The 21,621-nt window shown below is 47.6% G+C and overlaps 1 protein-coding gene across 2 annotated transcripts in view, besides 2 other annotated features; it reads right to left on the minus strand.

Moving 5' to 3' along the window:
• LCT (lactase) overlaps positions 1,624–21,621 on the minus strand; it is a 49,335-nt gene continuing 29,337 nt past the window's right edge. The window contains exons 9-17 of one of the 2 annotated variants that reach the window (NM_002299.4): positions 20,902–21,170; positions 18,541–18,831; positions 17,704–17,902; positions 14,381–14,583; positions 11,803–11,912; positions 8,415–8,549; positions 4,432–4,655; positions 3,345–3,572; positions 1,624–2,318 (exon numbers count right to left, since the gene is read on the minus strand). In NM_002299.4, the coding sequence (NP_002290.2) occupies positions 2,098–2,318; positions 3,345–3,572; positions 4,432–4,655; positions 8,415–8,549; positions 11,803–11,912; positions 14,381–14,583; positions 17,704–17,902; positions 18,541–18,831; positions 20,902–21,170 (1,880 nt within the window). In that variant the 3' untranslated portion in view covers positions 1,624–2,097. Of the gene's footprint in view, positions 2,319–3,344; positions 3,573–4,431; positions 4,709–8,414; positions 8,550–11,802; positions 11,913–14,380; positions 14,584–17,703; positions 17,903–18,540; positions 18,832–20,901; positions 21,171–21,621 lie in introns of those variants that run through there. The other variant, XM_017004088.3, reaches the window with a different exon arrangement.
• Positions 11,183–11,704: an enhancer, noted in NCBI's record as "H3K4me1 hESC enhancer chr2:136554979-136555500 (GRCh37/hg19 assembly coordinates)". NCBI's record gives its function as "activates a minimal SCP1, AML or CMV promoter by ChIP-STARR-seq in primed H9 embryonic stem cells {active_cell/tissue: H9 hESC(primed)}" and the evidence as "EXISTENCE:reporter gene assay evidence [ECO:0000049][PMID:30033119]".
• Positions 11,705–12,228: an enhancer, noted in NCBI's record as "H3K27ac-H3K4me1 hESC enhancer chr2:136555501-136556024 (GRCh37/hg19 assembly coordinates)". NCBI's record gives its function as "activates a minimal SCP1, AML or CMV promoter by ChIP-STARR-seq in primed H9 embryonic stem cells {active_cell/tissue: H9 hESC(primed)}" and the evidence as "EXISTENCE:reporter gene assay evidence [ECO:0000049][PMID:30033119]".

The raw sequence follows: 21,621 nt of genomic DNA on the forward strand, positions 1-21,621 counted from the left end.
AGGAGCCTGTTCCCTCACTGCCTTCATGGGCCCTCTGCCCCGAGTAGGCGCACTGCCTGCGAGGTGGGCATCTGTTCCATGTGCAGATGCTTCTGTGTCTAGGCTTTCTCTTCCTTTATTGATCTGTTTGCTCTCTGCTATACCAAACTAAGCTAGCTTTATAATGTGTTTTAATCTTCTTCCCCCAGATTTATCCTGGCTCTTCTTACAAGTTTATTTCATATATGAAACTTCTTTATATTATTTTGTTAGTGTTGTCCCAAAAAAGTGATGTTGAGTTTTGAGATTATTTAGGTATAATTGGCACCTTATGATACTGAGTTTCTCCCCAAAGAATGTCTTTTTTTTTTTTTTTTTTGAGACAGTCTCACTCAGTCGCCCAGGCTGGAGTGCAGTGGTGCGATCTCAGCTCACTGCAAGCTCCGCCTCCCAGGTTCACACCATTCTCCTGCCTCAGCCTCCTGAGTAGCTGGGACTACAGGCACCCGCCACCACGCCTGGCTAATTTTTTGTATTTTTAGTAGAGATGGGGTTTCACCATGTTAGCCAGGATGGTCTCGATCTCCTGACCTCGTGATCTGCCCACCTCAGCCTCCCAAAGTGCTGGGATTACAGGTGTGCGCCACCGTGCCCGGCCAACAAATGTCTTTAATATCAATTTTAGAACCACCCCCACCCCCATCTGACAAACTTTTCCAGTCGATTGATGGAGAAAAATGCTTGTGCACCACAAGCTCCTGACTGCCAGGTTGGGACTCATGGCGTTGGAATGTTTTGATAGGGAAAGGAATGCTTACAAGAAGCAAATTTCAAGTGTGATCATCCTTTTAAGACCAGCCCAAAATTACTCTGTTGTTACAAAACATTTTCCCAGCTATCTAGATGTAATATATGGGCCAATCAAGTGTTTAGGTGTTTCACACTGAGATTGTCTCTCAGCACATTTGAGGGGATTATAAAGAACATATCTCTGCTCCCACCACTGCCCTGGAAATGCTATGTGAATGGGTGAACACACGAAAGGAGCATTTGTGCTTTTCATTGCTCTCTCCAAGTTGTGCTTGCCAGAGACAATGAGACATGGTCCTTGGCCTTAAGAAGCTGATGATAGAGAAATACGCAATTCCAGTATAGAAACTGGATGGTCAAGTTGTAATAGGGGATATTTACAAGCAAAGCAGACGAAGGAGAATCTGCCTGGGGATTTCAGGGAAGCCATTCAGAGGAGGAAGTACATTATTTCAGCTGAGACTTAAAGGCATTTTCAGAAGAAAGGGCATCCTAGGTGGAAGGAGTAGCATTTGGGAAGACACAAAGGAATATGGATAGTTGTCCTATGTGCCGTTTAGAACTACCACAAATTGGGAAAGGAGGAAGGAAACAGACTAAATGAACCAAGGTCAGATGGGAGAGCTGGGGATGGCATAAAAAGTGGCAGTGGGGGTGTTCGAGGGGTGGGAAAAGGCCACTTTCTGCATGTTGTGGTATTTGCCCCAAGGAATATAATGTCAACAGAAAGACTTGGTCTGGTGAGAAAGCTTAATCGGAGCTCCAGATGGCTTGTGTGACTTCATAACTTCTCTTGAACCTACTTTCTCAAGGAGGGGCAACCATAGGAGAAAGGACAGTCTGCTGTTTTTATTTTCTGGAAAACACAAGATGTGAAGCTAGGGAGAGCTTGCAGAAGGGCAGGAGATGATATTGCAGTCTATGCAATGGAGTTGATTTCTTCTTATAGGAAGGATTTTTACGGTTTTTGCTCCCTTAACAACCCTTAACAACTCTGAAACTTAAAACAGCCCTGTTAAGTTCAATTAAGTGGTTCACAGACCCACTAGACCAGTATCTACACGTTTCCGCAAGAGCTACTTGCTTCTCAAATGCCCAAATGAACTCTGATACTGGAGCAAGATGGAGATATTTCCATTTTACTCAGCAAGTCGAAATCATTCAAGATTAAAGTCATCTCTAACGGTGCAGCAGGACTTTATGGAGAAGTCCAGTATCAGCAGAGTCTAAGACCCTAAGGTGTTTGGTGGCCGGTAAACATAGATGAAGAAACTAGGCCTGCTTCATAGAACTTGAGGTGGTAACTCATCAGAATGAAGACACCGGGCTCAATTCCTGTTGGCTTCGTTGTGTTTTCCCTTGCTTAGAGCGCTTGCAGTACTTGTATGACAGAAATGCCAAGCCACAGACTCCAAGAAGCACAAGAGAAAAGAGAACGTACAAAGCTGTCTGTGCTTCTGTGGTGCCGAGCATTAGCCCCAGGAACTGCACCTCCTCCTGTCTCACGGGGCTGATGGTGGGTCCAGCATCTAGGAGAGTGTGACACAGGGTGGTTGGTGCTCTGGCGCTGATTTGAGTTCTCAGATCTCTGAGACCCCAGCAGAGGCTGCACGGTACCCCAAATCCGCACAGCCATTGACGGGATGCCGAGGTGGAGGTACCCATCCCCTTTCACTGTGTGTCAGGAGCCTCTGAGTGAAGTTAAGCAGTTGTATTTTTTAAACATCTCTATCAGCAATTAGAATACGGTTGAATATCCCTTATCTGACATGCTTGCTTGGGATCAGAAGTGTTTCAGATTTGGGATTTTTTAAGATTTTGGAATATTTGCATATACATAATGAGATATTTTGGGGATGGGACCCAGGTCTAAATATGAAATTCATATATGTTTTATATGCAACTTATCCACGTGGTGTGAAGGTAATTCTATACAATATGTTAAATAATTGTGTGCATGAAACAAAGCTTTAACTGTGTTTTGACTGCGACCTGTCACATGGGGTCAGGTGTTGAATTTTCCATTTGTGTTGTCATGCCAGTCATGCTCAAAAAGTTTCAGATTTTGGAGTATTTTGGATTTTGAATTTTCAGATGAAGGATTCTCAGCCTGTATAATTGAAACTGGATAATTGTCATTTACATTTGTGTAGTGATTTATACTCTTACATTTAACAAATACGGGGCACCCACATGGTGCAGGCATTGTACTTTCATGGTCCCTTTATTTGATCCTTATAACTGCCCTGAAGCATGTGCCTGGTTTCTTATCTATGAGTGCACAGCAAGTTAGTGGTAGGGCTGGAAGAAGAGTCTAGACCTGCTTATTCCCAGGTCAGGGCTCTGGTTTCTAGGTGTAACATTGACCCTAAGTGTCCTTTGTTCCACCCCAGGAAATGTCTGGAGCATTCAAAGAAAATAAACATTTGTTGAATGAATGAAGGAGATGGGGCAGCAGAGAGGAGGGTAATAAACTAGAAGAAAACAGACTGAGAGAGGCCCTTCCACCTGCCCTTCACCCTTAGGCTTTATTCCCTCCCAGAGCCACATCTCACCTGGCTGGTGGAGACAAGCGTGAGGCCCTGTAGCGGGGTCAGGGAAGCCATTGCATCGGACCACAGAGGCGTAGAACTTCGCTGATGCTTTGGGGATCCTTGGCAGAGAAGGGTCACTGTAGTTCACAAAATGCAGACCAAATCTCTCTGAAAAGCCTGTGGCCCACTCAAAATTGTCCATCGCACTCCAAACTGTGTATCCTCGAAGGTCCACCTTGTCCTGCACAGCTGCTCAAACACAGAGGACTAGGCATAAGTTTCCTATCTCATAAGGCAGCTTCCTGCCAGGCCTTCGGAAGCCAGGTCTGCCTACTGCTCTCCCCACCGCCTTCACAGATGGCGGTAAGCTTTGGCTTTAGCTCTGTGAGAAAGCTGCCCCTTTCTTTGCATGCAGTGACTGTTAGCGGGTCCTCTGTGGATGGAGATGTAGAGCCACCAGCATCTTTAGAAAGGCTCAGCCCTGAATGGGAGTCGGGAACATGGGTGGACTAATTTCCCTGGGTCACCTACACTTCTATCCATGATCTTGGTCAGTGCCTTAGAATGTTAATGCTTCTCCCTGTAGAAAATAGCCCTTAGATAGAATATATTTCAGCTGGGTAGGATTTTTCTAATCATTTCCTTTGCTGGTGCATTGCTTGCTCTTTTACTCAGCATTTGTTCCATTCTCTTATCCTCATGGTCCCATCTCAAGTTGTTAGGGCTGAGCCAAGAGCCTCAAACTTTTGCTCGGAGACTAAGAGACCCTACAGGCAACCACACAGCCTACTCCTCCTGGGCCCTACCCAGACCATTCTCAGGAGGGCACTGCTGTTCCGACATCAGGGAGGATCAAGGGGAGCAAGTGACTCAGGCCAGGAACTAGGGTTTGGTGGCATCAGGCCACTGGGCTTGCTTGCTGAGCTTAGACATAGGAAGGAAAAAAACTCAGAGTGCGGCCCTAAAGCAAAGCTTAACCCCCACAGGAGCAAGAAGGCTTATCGTTCTCTTCTTACTGTGGCCCAAGGACGCTGTATCACACTCCTGCAAATAGCAGATGTTTCCAACAGGGGAAGGTGCACGCTGGGGAAGGGCGGGCCCGTCGTACCTTTGAGGGCCTCATTGATGTAAGTCCGAAGGTAGTAGATCCTTGCAGTGTCATTGAGGTCTGTTTCTTCCCGCTGGGACACTCCATTCTCTGTGACATAAATTGGAGGGTCATTGTATTCCTCCTTTAACCAGTTCAGGATCCTCCTGAAGCCAAAAGGCGTCATCTTCAGCCAGAAGGAGCCAGAGTCTGGCCACGAGCGATCTGCGATGGAAGCAACTCCTCTACAAGTTCAAAAACTAAAGATGAGGTCTTGTTTTGTAAATCTCAAGAGGCCCTTTACACGAAACACAAAACAGGACTTAGACCAGGAAAAGCCTTAGGTTTTGTCTAGCCTTAAGAATCATACTAAACCCAGAAGAATCAAATTGCCTCAAATTCTCCTCCTTTCGCTGGTTCTAGCTGCCTGCACTCTGTGCTTGTATAGCATTGGACAAGCCACTCAGCTCTCCGTCCTTCAATTTCTCTGCCTGTGCAGAGAATGGTCTTGCTCATGGAGCCCAGCCCTCCACTACTCTGAATAGATGGCTCCTTACACCAGCTATGAAAGGCTATGGGTCCCCAGCTCCAGGCTTCCAATGGACGCCAGTGCTGTGTCTTCAGAGAATGGGCTCCCCCAAGTCACCCATGTCTAGTCAATGCCACTTGCAGACCACGGGTGAGGCCACAGGCACGAATATTTGTAGGGGCCCTGCTTTGTGTGAAGACAGGCAGCAGACAGGCTGGCACCTCCTTCAAGTGTCCAAGAGCCTGGCCTCTCTCTTCAGTGATGGACGAGGAGGTGGACAGCTCCTGCCACAGGGGTGCCTGCTGGGGGAGGCCACAGAAGCCTGATCACCTGTAGTCACATATGTCAAATAAGAACCAAGAATTTAGACACTTCCTACACTCAGATCTTTCAGGGAAAAAAAAAATGTTGGTTTTATCAGCACCTGGATTTATCTGACTCAGCTGAATTGAATGTGGGCCATTTCATAAGCACTAGTGGAGGTCTTCCCAGGGACAGCCCCAGGGCTCATAAGAGGGAGGGAGAATCAGAAGGAGTAGAGGGGTGTTCTGGAGTCTCCTCAGCCCCCTTGGTGAGCCTGACTCTGGGGGTTTCAGGATACAGTGGGAGTGGAGGGGCTGGTTTTCAAAGAAAGAACCTGGACACAGTCAGAGCTACTGGTGTGGAAAGATGCTTGATGGAAAAGGAACAAAATGAGATTTTCTGAAAATGGCAGATAAGAGACAGGACTTAGGTACAGCTCCCACTTGGATGGACAGAACAGTGTGTGGAGACTCACATTGTTAACTGTTGCTCCAAGAACTACTGCTGGAACATACCAGAAAAACCAAAAGAATTCACAGACCTTTGAAAGAAGCAGAATGCTACTGCAAACTCCATGAGACAGCTGCAAAACTGTGAGTTCCCAAAGTGTGAGAAGGGGAAAGTCTGCCTCTGAACACACATCCTCTCTGGGGACCTGAACATCCAGATCATAGGAGAAGGATTTAACCTTACCTAGAGCGCAAGTGGATTTAGGGAGCCAAGTGAAATGTAAAAGTAGAAGAAGCAGTGGGAAGAGCCCTGTAGCCACTCCCTGTCCCCAGCTTGAGCCCAGGGAAGCCATTCCTGACTTTATCCTACAGGGGTCCTTGTAGAAGGAAGCCAGTGGAATTAGGGAGGGGCAGGATTAAGGAAGCTTCTAGCTCAACTTATTAATTTCAACTAGAAGCATGAATTTTCCTGAGCAGAATCTTGGGGGCAAACAAGAAGTGCAGATAAAAGCACAGAAGCCACAGCCAACAGTGTGGGCAGGTGGGGAGGGGCAAGGCCTGAAAGCCCTGTTTGCTTTCTCAGAGAGAAGGCTTGTGGCCTGGGGTGAGATCTCTGCCCTGCGCACTGTTGGCAGGGCACAGCAGGAGTGAGACTGGCCTTGCTGGCTGCATGGGAGCTAGGTGAGGCTTGTGACTGCCAGCTTTCCCAACTTCCCTAGCAACCTGTATGACACAGCAGAGGAAGCCATAATACCCCTGGGAACAGAACTCCACTGGCCTGAGAACCAGCCCCCTATTCCCCCACAGTGGCCACAGCAAGCCTCACCCGAGGAGAGTCTGAGCTCAGATATGCCTAATGCTGCCCCAACCTGATGGTCTTTCTCTACCTTTGCTGGTAGCTGAAGACAAAAGACATAAACTCTTGGGAGCTCTATGGCCCCGCCCATAACCTGAGAAACCCAAATACCCTGGCCAACGTAGGGCAACCTTGTAATCCCCCTTCTACTACCGCAGCTGGTGGCAGTGGAAGGGGAAAGCACCTCAAAAGTGCCACCTCCTCTCTTGAAAGTGCCACCTCCTGGCTGGAGACCAACCAACTCACGCCATTATAGCAACTCATAACAGAAGAACCCTGCTCCAAAGAAAGAGAAAACAACAACTAATTCCACTGCCTGCAACATCCTGGCTAACCAGAGGTCCTGAGTCTGTCCACATGACAACTTCACTGCTCGCATAACCAGCGTTTGAGAAAACCAGTGCACGAAAGAAAACTACAACCAAGGACCCTCACAGAATCCACTTAAGTCCCCTGCCACCTGCACTGGAGCAGGTGCTGGTATCCATGGCTGGGAGACCTGAAGACAGATCACATCACAGGACTCTTTGCAGACATTCCTCAGCACCAGTTCAGATCCCAGTAATTCTGCTGGGTGGATAGACCCAGAAGGGCAATGGCAATCACTGCAGTCTGGCTCTCAGGAAGCCCCATCCTTAGGGAAAGGGGGTGAGCACCACATCAAGGGATCACCCTGTGGGACAAAAGGATCTGAGGGGCAGCCCTTGAGTTCTAGATCTTTCCACTGAAACAGTCTACCTGAATGAGAAGGAACCAGAAATGTTAATTCTGGTAATATGACAAAACAAGGTTCTATAAGACCCCCAAAAGGTCGCACTAACTCTCCAGCTATGGATCCAAACCAAGAAGAAATCTCTGAATTGCCAGATAAAGAATTCAGAAGGTTGATTATTAAACTACTCAAGGAGGTACTAGAGAAAGGTGAAAATTAACTTAGAGAAATTTAAAAAACAATACAGGATATGGATGAAAAAGTCTCTAGATAAATAGATATCATAAAGAAAAAGACAATCGGCTGGGCGCAGTGGCTCACACCTGTAATCCCAGCACTTTGGGAGGCCAAGGCAAGGGGATCATCTGAGGTCAGGAGATAGAGACCAGCCTGACCAACATGGAGAAACCCTGTCTCTACTAAAAACACAAAATTAGCCGAGACCATTCTGGCCAACATGATGAAACCCCGTCTCTGCTAAAATACAAAAAAAAAAAAAAAAAAATTAGCCAGGCGTGGAGGTACGCGCCTGTAATCCCAGCTACTTGGAGGCTGAGGCAGGGGAATCACTGGAACCCGGGTGGTGGAGGTTGCAGTGAGCCAAGATTGTGCCACTGCACTCCAGCCTGGTGACAGAGCGAGACTCTGTCTCAAAAAAAATAAATAAAATAAAAACTGTTACTTAAAAGGTGAACCAAAATCTTTTACTATCTCTACTTCATAAAAGCATTGTTTAAAAAGAGAAAATAAAATTTTACTCTTGTATTATTGTAATATTTATTAATATTAAAGCGAATTTTGATAAAACCTAAACAATTTTTTTCTTGAAAATCCTTTTTAACAACCAAGCATTTTTAGAGTTAAGCAGCCTGTGAAAAAGAACGCAAAATAAATAAATTTTAAAAATGAAATAAAAAAACAAAAAGCCAAGCACATGTGCCCTAATGGGAGGTGCCCTGGAGACCCCGGCCTTCTCTCCCTCTTGCTTGCTGGAGATTTCCTTGGGATCTGTGGGGTGGCGAGCATCTTGCAAACCCCGGCACATTCGGCGTTGGAGGCCCTGTTTTGAGGCTGGGCAGGCCTCAGAGAGCACAGCCAAGGGCACCTTTCTGCCTTTTCCAGAGATGGCTCCGGGCTCCCTGTTGGTGGACTTACCTGTCTGCATCAAAAGAAGAGATGGCAGTGGCATAGTTGAGGTTGTAGGCGAGGACAGTGGTGTAGTGATTGAACCCAAAAAAGTCATAGGTGCCGTTGATCCTCCTCTTCTCACTCTCTGTAAATTCTGGCAGCCTGGGTGGAAGAAGCCATTGAGGGCAGGGCTTCAGGGAGAGCCATGCTTTGAGAAGAGAACGTCATAGGGCTGGGGCGGGGGAGCTCTCCGAACCCCAGGCACTTGGCAGTGAGTAGGGGAAACTGGCAGGGAAGGAGAAGAGGTCCTTCAGGCGGTGCAGGAAGCACTGCGGCTCCTCCAGCCAGACCATAAACCTGGCTTCCCTAGGTCTCTACAAGAGCCTCTGAAACCTGAAGGACCACACACACACGCACCCACGCGCGCGCGCGCACACACACACACACACACACACATGCATAAACAGTTTTTAATTTCCTTCAAACAACATATGCAAATTCTGATATTTAGCATCTATGACAGATTTCAAAATCAAGAGCATGCCTGAGGTACATATCTGAGACTCTTCCCCTATGTTTGTAAAGTTAGATCTTGTATAATTTTTTTTTTTTGTGGCTGAGTCTGGCTCTGTCACCTAGGCTGGAGTGCAGTGGCGCGATCTCAGCTCACTGCAACCTCCGCCTCCTGGGTTCAAGTGATTCTCCTGCCTCAGCCTCCCAAGTAGCTGGGACTACAAGCGCCTGCCACAACTCCTGGCTGATTTTTTATATTTTTGGTAGAGATGGGGTTTCACCATGTTGGCCAGGCTGGTCTTGAACTCCTGACCTCAAGTGATCCGCCCACCTCAGCCTCCTAAAGTGTTGGGATTACAGGCATGAGCCACCACACCCGGCCCTGTATCTTGTGTAATTTGTATTTCCGTTTTCTGCCCTTTCCAAGTTTCTCTGCTCCTCTTGGGGTTTGTTTAGGCATGCCTCTTTTCTCCAACTCTAATAATAATAATAATAATAATAATAATAATAATAGCTTCAAGATCTTCAAAGTAGCAGGGGAAATAATTTGCAAATTGAGTATTTGAGTTTGAATTTCTCAGTTCTCACGATTTCACTGAACTTTGTTTTCTTTCTTCCTTTTTTTTTTCCCAGACAGGGTCTCGCCCTGTCCTCCTGAGGACACTGCACGCCCCCTGAGGCTGGAGTGCAGTGGTGCAATCATAGCTCACTGCAACCTCAGTCTCCTGGGCTCAAGCAATCCTCTCACCTCAGCCTCCCAAGTAGTTGGGAATATAGGTGTGCGTCACCATGCCTAGATAATTTTTAAATTTTTTGTAAAGACAAAGTCTCACTATATTGCCCAGGCTGGTCTTGAACTCCTGGTCTCAAGCAATCCTCCTGCCTCAGCCTCCCAAAGTGCTGAGATTACTTGTGAGCCTGGGAACTTTGGCTTCTTAACCTGTAGATGGAGCATTTTCCAGGCACTCTGAGTGAAAAGCCTCTCCTGTAGAACCTGACTAATACACTTGTGTGCAGCATGTACAGGTGATCCTGAATGCATGCGCATGCCCACAGGGAGACCTGGGGCTTCTGGTTTAGGTGTGGCCCAGAGATGCCCTGCTGAGGCCTCTGACACTTTCATCTTGACCTTTCTGCTACCATTAACCTGAGGGATCAAGAACCTTCCTTCCCTGGGGTTTCTGAGATGATGGGAGAAAACCAAAGCACAGCCTCCTCCTGTCCCTGACGCTTCTGCTCAGAAGCCAGCAATGGCCTGTGGCACCAAAGCCAAGGCCCTGTGCTTGGCTTCCAGGCCCTCCACCATGTGGCCTCAGCCCCTTCACTGCTGCTGGGCTGGTCTCCCCACTCTCAGCTCTGGCACCCCCACTCATTCTTACCTCTAGGCCTGTCTTCACAACTCTGCCCCGTGGAAAGAATGACCTGCAATCCCCCACATTCTATCCCCTGTCAAGGCCCAGCTCAGCTGATGTCCTGCCTTGTCCATGAAATCTCCTGGGTCTACCCAGCCTACCCTGATCTCATCTTCTGAGTTTTCTTTGTACTGAAGAGCCTGGGGAATGGGATGGAGAACTGTCTTTCCAGCTGATCTGTCAGCAGCTTGAGGAGCCGAATGGAATCCTCTCCTTCCATGGACCCCTCCCCCTGGCCCTGGCTCGGGCAAATGGTAGGTGCTCGGCAAAGTTGTGCAGATGGGCCGGGCGCTCATCGGTTTTGCTGGAGATCACAGTTCGCAGATCAGACCTTTAGGCACAGCCTGCTCTGGGGAACTTACCCTAACTAGGCCAGGGTGTGCATTGTGAGGTGGGAGCTGGATTTTTTTTTTTTTTTTTTTTTTGAGACAAAGAGTCTTGCTCCATCGTCCAGGCTGGAGTGCAGTGGCATGATCTCGGCTCACTGCAACCTCTGCCTCCCGAGCTCAAGCAATTCTCTGGCCTCAGCCTCCCAAGTAGCTGGGATTACAGGCCCCCGCCACCGCACCCAGCTAATTTTTGTATTTTTAGTAGAGACAGGGTTTCGCCATGTTGGCCAGCCTGGTCTTGAACTCATGACTTCAAGTGATCCGCCCACCTTGGCCTCCCAAAGTGCTGGGATTACAGGTGTGAGCCACCGCACCCGGCCTGGGAGCTGGATTTTTAATCCTCAGCTGGACTATATGGGGGCGTCTAGGGGCAGGACTCAAAGACTATGTTGGGAATTCACACTTGATTCCCGCCAGCCTTGGAGCGGTGGGCATGTTCCCGTGGGCAGTGACTGCCGCTTCCTGCGCTTCCTCACACCACACCTCTCACCCCACCTGCATGATTCTCAAGCCCCCAGCATGCGCCCTGGGGGCCGACAGCTTGGCTGCAAATCTCAGCTCTATCTCTTAATAGCTGGGTGATCTTGCCCTAATCTTTGCGCCTCACTTTACTCGTATTTAAATAGAAATAAAGATACCAACAGAAGATGGGTAAACGTTGGCTGCTAATGTTGCTACTCCTTCCTTGACAAGAAGGGGCGGGCGGGTAAGGAAGGACGCTTTGGTGCAGACCATCGCCACCTGCTGGCCAAGTGATGCAAAGCACACGCCTGACTGTCAGCCACTGCCACCCACATTCACACGTGCGGTGATGAAATAGGATAGGATGAGCTGGGATTTGTCTGTGGAGTGGCATAGTGGGGTTGCTCAGAGGTGGATAGCCTTGGAACAGATTTCCTGGCTGTTCCACAATATAATAACCATAATAGCAAACCCCTCTGTCAAGCATATAGCAGTGCCAGGTGCTGGGCTAAGCTTTACATATATGATCACATGTAACTTCCCAGCAAGCAAAGAAGCTCAGTCATGGTAACTTGCCCGAGACATGCCTCTGTGACCCCGACGCCCATGCCCTCACCACTGCGGGCACCAGGCCCTTACCGAGACTTGTTGAGGCCTGCAGCCAAGCTCCTGTCACGGATCCGCGTCTTCATCACCTCATTGTAATCTCCATTCTTGAAAATAGGATGTGCAAACCAGCCTCCCATGAACTGCGGGTAGGGTGGGGGAGACAGCCCAGGCGTTACAGGTGGGCACAGCAAGAGACAGCATCGTCCCCGCTCAGAAGTGCCTGGCCTCACAACCTCCCTCCTTTTCCTGGACCCCCAGGTTAAGCTCTCTTCCCTGTGGCTCCTGCCTGTTGCAGCTTCAGTGTCCACAGGTCTCCCAGCTGGGTCTGTGCTTGCTCAGTTGCTGTTGCACTGAGGACAGGGCCACCTCTTCATAGTTGTAGCTTGAGGTGACAGTAACTGACCTGGGCACTGGCCCTGGTGCTCAACAAATGCTTCCTGGCTGCCCTTGGATGGGTCCTGCAGAGGAGAAGGGAGAACCCACAAGCCTCCAGGCTCCCGGTTCTCTTTCTCACCACTGAGCGGCTGCACTTCCTCATCAAAGTGCCCAAGGAGCAAACAGAACTTTCTGGGGAGGGCTGAAATGCAAGGCTTTCCTGACTTTCCGGGCAAAGTATAACTCTTAATGGGCTTTCACAGCCCCAGAGTGGGGAACCGTTTGACCTATTTTCTCTAATGAGGCCTAGGCCATCCTTATCATGTGCGGGGATACGTGGCACCCAAACACTATGATGCTGGGGGTTTGAGAGCCTTCTGTAGTCTCTCCAAATCCTCTCCTCACCCACTGGCTGCTGCTGGGAATGTGGGGTGAGGGCAGCTTCCACTCATGGTCAGAGATGAGGCATGGAACACACATGCCCTGGTAAAGAGGCTTAAATGCACCCACTCCAAGGTAACACACTAGATATTTTCGTGGAAGCTGATTCTAATAAGAGATGCATCTGTCATAGTCCATGGCTGCAGTATCACAGTTCACCAGTAAGTGGCTCAATCTAATGATATGACAGCCTAACGTTTCCTGACGTTTGAAGTTTTGATTTCAGGAAAAAAGGAAATGTTGTTCTAAATCACCAGTTCTGTGAGTCTGAAATGAGGGATACATTAATTTTGTTTCAAAACTGTTTCCCCAGCTGGCTAGCAGACCAGAAAATTAAGCCCTTCGTTGCATTTATTAATTTGACTATCTTTGTCAAGTTCTCTTGTGAAGAGTTTGGCAAACCAAGGCCCATGGTGTTTCCCCCGAGAGAGTTATAGTGCCACAGTTGGCAGACTCTTCCACGGAGCCCAAAGTGGGAACCAATCCAGAGAGAAACCCTTGCCTTTCCTTCCTGATGCAAAATGTAGGAGAGAGCACCTTCTATCCCTTTCTAGGAGGAGCCAGAGGAGCTGTGCCGTGAACGAGGATCATTCTTTTCCTTCTCTCCTCTTGTCAGTCAGGGGTTCAGGTGGAAATAAAGGTAGGCCATGCTGGCACCTGCTTCCTTTTTTTTTTTTTTTGGAGATGGAGTCTCTCTCCATTGCTCAGGCTGTAGTGCAATGGTGATCTCAGCTTCTGGGTTCTCCTGCCTTAGCCTCCAGAGTAGTTGGAACTACAGGCATGTGCCACCACACCTCGGTAATTTTTATATTTTTAGTAGAGATGGGGTCTCACCATGTTGGCCAGGCTGGTCTAGAACTCCTGACCTCAGGTTATCAGCCTGCCTTAGCCTCCCAAAGTGCTGGGATTACAGGCGTGAGCCACCTTGCCCAGTCGGCTTCCTAGTAATGTCTCTACTTCCTTGGGTGAAATTCCATGACTGAAAGATGCTGTTCTTAAACTCATTGAGTTGGCAAATTAGGGGCACTAATGAGTTTCACAGAATCTAAAGCCCCCAATTTAAGAAATGCCTAGGCTGGAGCAAATCAAATTAGATGGTGACACCTAAAGGTGACGTGTGACACTGCAGCCCAGCTCTGTTAGCTACTATAGTCAAACCAGAGAGACTGAAGAAATGGAAATTTCTCTCTAGGAGTTAACTTCAAACCAATGTTACAGAAAGAATTACCTGTACAAATGATTTTTAAAAACTTAAAGACAACTTAACCCCACAGACTTTATCACTTTCATCACAGCAAACTTTTGAGGTGGGCAGGACATCTCCAGTTTGAAGTTGAGGAAACTAAGGTACGAAAAAGTTAGATGATTTTCCCAAGCTCACAAAATCAGGCAATAGCAAAACTAGGCTTAGATCCTAATAATTCTTCTTTTTGGGGGTTGGGGGTGGTCTCCCTCTGTCACCTGGAGTTTAATGGTGCCGAAATCATGGCTCACTGCAACCTTGACCTCCTGGACTCAAGCTCCCACCTTAGCCTCCTGAGCAGCTGGGACTATAGGTGTGTGTCACCATGCCCTAATAATTTTTTTTTCTTCACAGACAAGGTCTTTCTATGTTGCCCAGGCTAGTCTCAAACTCCTAGCCTCAAGAAATCCTCCTGCCTCAGACTTCCAAAGTGCTGGGATTATAGACATGAGCCACCACACCCTAAATCTTTGATTCACAATCTGTTTCCATTAGGCTGGAAGGAAAGATGGACAAGAGTAAGAACAAGCGCCCAGAGGAAAAACAGACCTGAACATATCTCCTGGCTGCCTCCACATCCTCCTGGTTAGAGGGATCTCTGGGTTCAGCCCAGTCACTGCTGATGGTGATGGAAATCACGCCACCTTGACTGGCGCGGTACACATCGTTGTACAGATGCCAGGCCTCAGCATGAGCCTTTATTAGATTGTGGCCAACAATGTAGGGGGCAGTGCCAGGCCTATTGGAGACTCCTGGAAACATACACATGGATGTCAACAGAGAATGGATAGAATGGATGTGACTGAGATTGTTAGTCCCTGCCTGCAGATGTCCCCTCTGTGTTTGGGAGAAGGGGTGTAGATTCTGACACTAGGAAAACTGGAATTCAAACCCTGGCTCTCCCTCTTATTACCTGGCTGTGTAACTTTGGGTGAGTAATTCAGCCTTTCAGTTTCCTCCTTGGTGAAATGGGCAGCAGAGAGTGCTTGTGAGAGGGAAATGAAACAGTGTATGAAACCCGCCCACAGCAGCACTGTGTCTGGAAGAGGGAAGGCCACTTGATAAATGTTGGCTTCTGTTCCCCTCCTCCAGAAGAGTGGCTCGTACGTCTCAGGCAAAATACCCATAATAGAGATACCTATCGCAGAATCTAAAGCCCCCAATTTAAGAAATGCTTAGGCTGGAGCAAATCAAATCAGATGGTGGCACCTAAAGGTGAAGTGTGACATTGCAGCCCAGCTCTGTTAGCTACTATAGTCAAACTAGAGAGACTAAAGAGATGGAATTTCTTTCTATTGAGTTAGCTTCAAACCAATGTTATATTCAGAAAGGACTATATGTACAAATGATTTTTTAAAACTTAAAAGACAACCCAGGCCAGGCAGGGTGGCTCACACCCATAATCCCAGCACTTTGGGAGGCTGAGGCAGGTGGATCACCTGAGGTCAGGAGTTTGAGACCAACTTGCCCAATATGGTGAAACCTGTCTCTACTAAAAATACAAAAAATTAGCCAGCTGTGGTGGCAGGCGCCTGTAATCCCAGCTACTCAGGAGGCTGAGGCAGGAGAATCACTCGAATCCAGGAGGTGGAGACTGCAGTGAGCCGAGGGGTTCAAACAATTCTCCTGTCTCAGCCTCCTGAGTAGCTGGGACTGCAGGCGCATGCCACCACATCTGGTTAATTTTTGTATTTTTAGTAGAGGTGGAGTTTCACCATATTGATCAGGCTGGTCTTGAACTCCTGACCTCAGGTGATCCACCTGTCTTGGCCTCCCAAAGTGCTGGGATTACAGGCGTGAGATACCATACTCGGCCTATGATTATTTTTGAGACAGGGTCATGCACTGTCATCCAGGCTGGAGTGCAGTGGTGCCATGAGCATGGCTCACGGCAGCCTTGAACTCCTGGGCTCAAATGAATTGACAGGAGTTGATAATCTGGAGCTCCTTGGGGACCCATTGTGATCATTTGGGTTGGAGAATGTAGCTAATGCAACCAGCTGACACGGAGATACCCTGATAGTGAATGCTGCAAGAGAGGCGCCTCTCATGTGTTGAAGGAGTGTAAACCAAAGGGGCGAACTAGGACCAATGGAGATGCCTCTGATAACGATTTGAGGCACATCTCCTGGTGGCTCTTTCCAGCTGTTACACAGTGTTCTGAGGAATCACATGAATGAACACAAATTTATTCTTATTAACTCAGAACTAGATAAAAGGGAAACTGGATGGTTCTCAAGGCACAAAAATAGGTCCACAATTTCTTATTCAAAACCCTAAGGGATCCCGCAATCTTACTTTTGGGTATTTATCCAAAGGAAAGTAAGTCAGAATACCAAATCAATACCTTGACCTCTGTGTTTATTGCATCACTGTTACAATGGCCAAGATATGGAATCAACCTAAGTGTCCATCAACAGATGAATGGATAAAGAAAATGTGGCATCTATATATGATGGAATACTATACAGCCATAAAGAAGGATGAATCTTGTCATTCGTGACAACATCGCTGGAACTGGAGGTCATTATGTAAAGTGAAATAAGTCAGGCACAGAAAGGCAAATACTGCATGTTCTTACTCACATGTGGGAGCTAAAAAGATGAGCTCCTAGCAGCAGAGAATAGAATTGTGATTATTAGAGGATGGGAAGGGTAGTAGGGAGGGAGGACAGGGAGAGGTTGGTTAACGGATACAAAGTTAAGCTAGATAAGAAGATGAAGTTCTAGTGATGTGTGGCACTGTAGAGTGAATGTAGTTAACAATAATTTAGGCTGGGTGCAGTGGCTCACATCTGTAATCCCAGCACTTTGGGAGGCTGAGGCGGGCGGATTACCTGAGGTCACGAGTTCGAGACCAGCCTGGCCAACATGATGAAACCCCATTTCTACTAAAAATACAAAAATTAGCTGGGCATGGTGACACATGCCTGTAATCCCAGCTACTTGGGAGGCTGAGGCAGGAGAATTGCTTGAGCCCAGGAGGTGGAGGTTGCAGTGAGCTGGTATCATACCACTGCACTCCAGCGTGGCCAACAGAGCTAGACTCTGTCTCAAAAAAATAAAAAATGAATAAAAAATAATGATACAAAAGAATTTAGTGTATATTTGCAAAAAGCTAGAAAAGAGGACTCCGAATTTTCCCAACACAAAGAAATGATGAATGTTTGAGGTGATGAATATACTAATTATTCTGATTTCATCATCACACATTGTATACATGTATCAAAATATATTTTGTACTCCATACATATGTACAATTATTGCATGTCAACCAAAGTTAAAAGAAAAAAAATCTTTTAGGGTCAGATGTGTTTTGGAATTAAATGTTTCCTTTGAGAAAAGTACCTATCAGCCCCATGGGCCGCAGACAGCTAGCTCTCCATAGTCAAGCACACTGATATCTCTGCAGCAGAACTTAGGAATGTTTGCTCAGTGCGATAAAGACCATGAGCAGCCTCCTGTTGGTTTGAGTCAGGTTTCACTACTATTAAATGAGCTCAGGTCAGCCAAACCAATTGTCAGAAACTTTGGGGTTTGGGAATTGTGGAAATAGACTGTAGACCTGTACAGCCTGACAAACTGTCCTTCCCCACATCAATTTGCCCACATCTCTGATCTCAGAGAGCTTCCCACCTGAGGCCGATCAGAGTCACAGAGCAAAGAAATGAACCCACCTTGAGGAATTGAGATGTGAAATTCATGTTTAACAATGCAATGCCAGGAGGGAAACCTCTACAGCCCTGAGCAAGAGGCAGGGTTTCTGCCATGGGGCTTTCTTGGTTGCCTCGTCCTGTGCCATCTGGATTTCAACTCTTGATGTGCTAAGAATGCCATGATTCAAAGAGCCTATGAGCCAGGGCTGGGACTTACCTGGAGCTGCTGTTCCGTAGCCATAGCCCTGGTAAGCAATGACAAAGGGCTCATTCAGCGTGATCCAAAACTTCACCTTGTCTCCCAGCCTCTGGAAGAGCACATCTGCATACTCCTTAAACCGCTGCACGATGGTCTCATTCTCCCAGCCTCCTACATCTTGGAGCGTCTGTGGTAGGTCCCAGTGGTAAATGGTCACCTGGGAAGAAGCCAGATCAGCTGTTGCATCAGTCATGCTTTCCATGGGAAGCCCTAGGTTAGATGTGCCAGCATCAACGTCTGCTGCAAATCCTGAGAGTGACTTATGAGACAAAAAGGCTCAAAGATTTTTTTCTTTTTCTTTTGGGAAAAGGGTAAATTGCTTTCAGGGAGAACTAGATGGCTGAGGTCAAGGTTGGGAAGGAAACTCTTTTATGCTTTTCAAATTCTGCATCATATGAATTCACTGACAATTAAAAAGTTAAATTTGAGGTCGAGCACGGTGGCTCATACCTATAATCTCAGCACTTTGGGAGGCCGAGGCGGGTGGATCACTTGAGGCCAGGAGTTTGAGACCAGCCTGGCCAACACAGTGAAACCCCGTCTCTACTAAAAATACAAAAATTAGCTGGGCATGGTGATGCGTGCCTATAAGCCCAGCTACTCTGGAGGCTGAGAAACGAGATCCGCCACTGCACTCCAGCCTGGGTGACAGAGCGAGACTACGTCTCAAAAACAACAATAACAACAAAAGCTAAATTTGAAACCAGCATTTTGTTTACATGATAAATGTGCTCCCCCAGCCCTGCTGGTTCCTGCATGTGGACTTTCCCAAGGCCTTGCCAGGACCCACCATACCTGGGGCTGGATGCTGGCGGCCAGCAGTGTATCGATGAGCCTCACGTAGTAGTTCAGGCCCGCTTCATTGATGTACCTGGTGGTTCCATCAGGGAGGATGCGAGACCAGGAGATGGAAAAACGGTAGTGGGACACGCCCAGGTTCTGCAGGGTGACCAGATCCTCAGCAATCTTGTGATAACTGTCACAGGCCACGTCTCCAATGGCATCGTTCTCAACCCTCAGTGGTGTGTGAGAAAACGTGTCCCAAATGCTGAGTCCTTTGCCATCTGCTCTCCACGCACCTTCAATCTCAAGATGACAAGACATGGTCTTATTAAGTCATTCAGTCAAGCACTCACAGCCTCCTTTCTTTCACTGGGTGAGTCTCAAGTCAGGACGTTTACTCTTTTGTGATAACGCTTAGCTTAAAACAAGCACATTGGTCCATGTGTGGTGGCTCACGCCGGCAACCCCAGCGCTATGGGAGGATCGCTTGAGCCCAGGAGTTCAAAACCAGCCTGGGCAACATGGCAAAACCCCATCTCTATAAAAAAAATCAAAAAAATTAGCCAAGTGTGGTTACCTCCTCTGGGAGCCTGCTCTGGCCCCTGCTCAGTCTCGGAACTCCCCTGGCTTTCTCTACGCATGTGGCAGGCCCACTCTTGCACAGAGACAGACGCAGACAGAAGATGGAAAGCAGGAACCACCACTAACTGCCAGGCAAGTCACTCTTGCCTTTTCCATTTTTCTTGCACAAAATAAAACCATCCTATTTTCTGTATGAGTAAGCCTCATTTTGGCATGAATACAGTAGTGGTGTGATGTTTTTAGGACATCAGAATAAGCTCAGGCCCATGCTGAGAGCCAATGTGAGCAAACTGCCTGCTTGGAAGGATCTAGCTGGGGAATAAAGGGGTCCAACAGGGACTGGTCATAGTCATGGGCTGTAGAACAGTGTTTTGGTCAATGACGGACCTGATATATGATGGTGGTCCCATAAGATTATAATGGAGCTGAAACATTCCTATTGCCTAGTGCTTTGCAGCCATCATAACGTTGTAGAGCACTGCATTATTCATGCTTGTGGCAGTGCTCATGTCAATAAATCTACCGTATGGCCAGCAGTATAAAAGTATAGCACATGCAGGCCGGGTGCTGTGGCTCAGACCTGTAATTCCAGCACTTTGGGAGGCTGAGGGAGGAGGATCACTTGAGGCCAGGAGTTCAGACTAGCCCTAGCAACATAGCAAGACCCCCATCTCTACAAAAAAATTAAAAATAAAAAATTCATTGGGTGTGGTGGCATATGCATGTAATCCCAGCTAATGGGGAGGCTGAGTGATCCTCCTGCCTCAGCCTCCCGAGTAGCTGGGACTACAGGAGCACACCACCACACTTGGCTAATTTTTTTGATTTTTTTATAGAGATAGGGTTTTGCCATGTCTTGCCCAGGCTGGTTTTGAACTCCTCGTCTCGAGCGATCCTCCCATAGCACTGGGATTGCAGGCATGAGCCACCACACCTGGACCAATGTGCTTGTTTTAAGCTAAGCATTATCACAAAAGAGTAAAAAAGTTTAAAGAATTAAAAAGTTAATAAAGTAAAAATGTTACAGTAAGCTAAGGTTAATGTGTTATTGAAGAAAGAAAAACATTTAAAAAATAAACTTAGTGTAGCTTAAGTGTGCAGTGTTCATAAAGTCCACAGTAGTGTACAGTAATGCCTAGGCCTTCCCATTCACTCACCCCTCACCCACTGACTCACCCAAAGCAACTCCCAGTCCAGCAGGCTCCATTCATGGTGAGTACCCTGTCCAGCTTTTATGCCATATTTTCACTGTGCCTTTCTACATTTAGATACATTTAGATACACAAATACCACTGTGTTACAACTGCCTACAGCATTCAGTACAGTAACAGGCTGTACAGGTTTGTAGCCTAGGAGCACTAGGCTATACCATGTAGCCTAGGTGTGTAGTAAGCTACACTATCTAGGTGTGTGTAAGTGCACTCTGTGTGATGTTCACACAACTATGAACTCACCTAACATCACATCTCTCAGAGTAAATCCCTGTTGTGAGCAATGCGTGACTGTATTTGTGTGTCTTTGCCCAAGTACTTCTGCCCAGGCTCCCCCTGCTCCATCTGGCCCTGCAAGCACCCATCTCAGGACAGCGAGCCTCACCATGCTGGTCTGGGTAAATTTGGGGGTGTGAAGAAGCCAGGCTGTCTGGAAGAGGACCTCCCAGACCCCATGCTGCCCCTCCATGGGTCTGCTGGAATCTCCTGTTCATGCATCTGCCCTTCCCAGCACTGAGCCCAGAGCCTGGCACAGGGCAGGTGTGCAGTCACTGGTGTCCCACCATCCTGAACTCCTCACCTGATATGCAGCAGAAGCTGCACTCCAGATGAAGCCCTCAGGAAACCGTCCGTACAGAAACTCATCCTCCCTGGCCAGTGGCATGCCGTTGTTGGTAATGACCTCTGTGTAGTACCTGGCGGAGGCTCTTGCTGTGCGAGGCCTGTTCGTGTTGTTGAAATCAACATGGTACAGTCCAAACTTGACCGTGTAGCCATTTAGCCACTCAAAGTTGTCCATCAGAGACCAGGCGACATACCCTCGAAGGTCTATACCATCGAGCCTGTAGGCTGGGAACATCCCAAAGGGAGCAGAGGAGAGCTTGACACCAGGAGTCAGGACCTCCATGCACCCAACCCACTGCCAGCTCCTCAATTCAAGGTTGTGGTCCTAAAAGTGACATACACCCTGAGAGACCAACAGATCATCTGTTGATCTTACTTTTCTGCCAGTACCTATGACCCCACAGCAAGCATTAATGACTGATCATCTCCAAATCAAATTCTTCTCTTGGGGTAAAGAAACATGCCCCAAATTCAAGATCTTCAGCCCACTTAGGAAGTTAAGCCCAATGCATCTGTAGTCCTAGCTACTGGGGAGGCTGAGGCAATAGAATTGCTTGAACTCGGGAGATGGAGGTTGCAGTGAGCCGAGATCACACCATTGCACTCCAGCCTGGGCAACAGAGTGAGACTGTCTCAAAAAAAAAAAAATCAATGAAACAAAAAGTTGATTTTTAGG

The sequence above is a fragment of the Homo sapiens genome, chromosome 2 (assembly GCF_000001405.40).
Source record: "Homo sapiens chromosome 2, GRCh38.p14 Primary Assembly".
In the NCBI taxonomy this organism is placed as follows: Eukaryota; Metazoa; Chordata; class Mammalia; order Primates; family Hominidae; genus Homo; species Homo sapiens.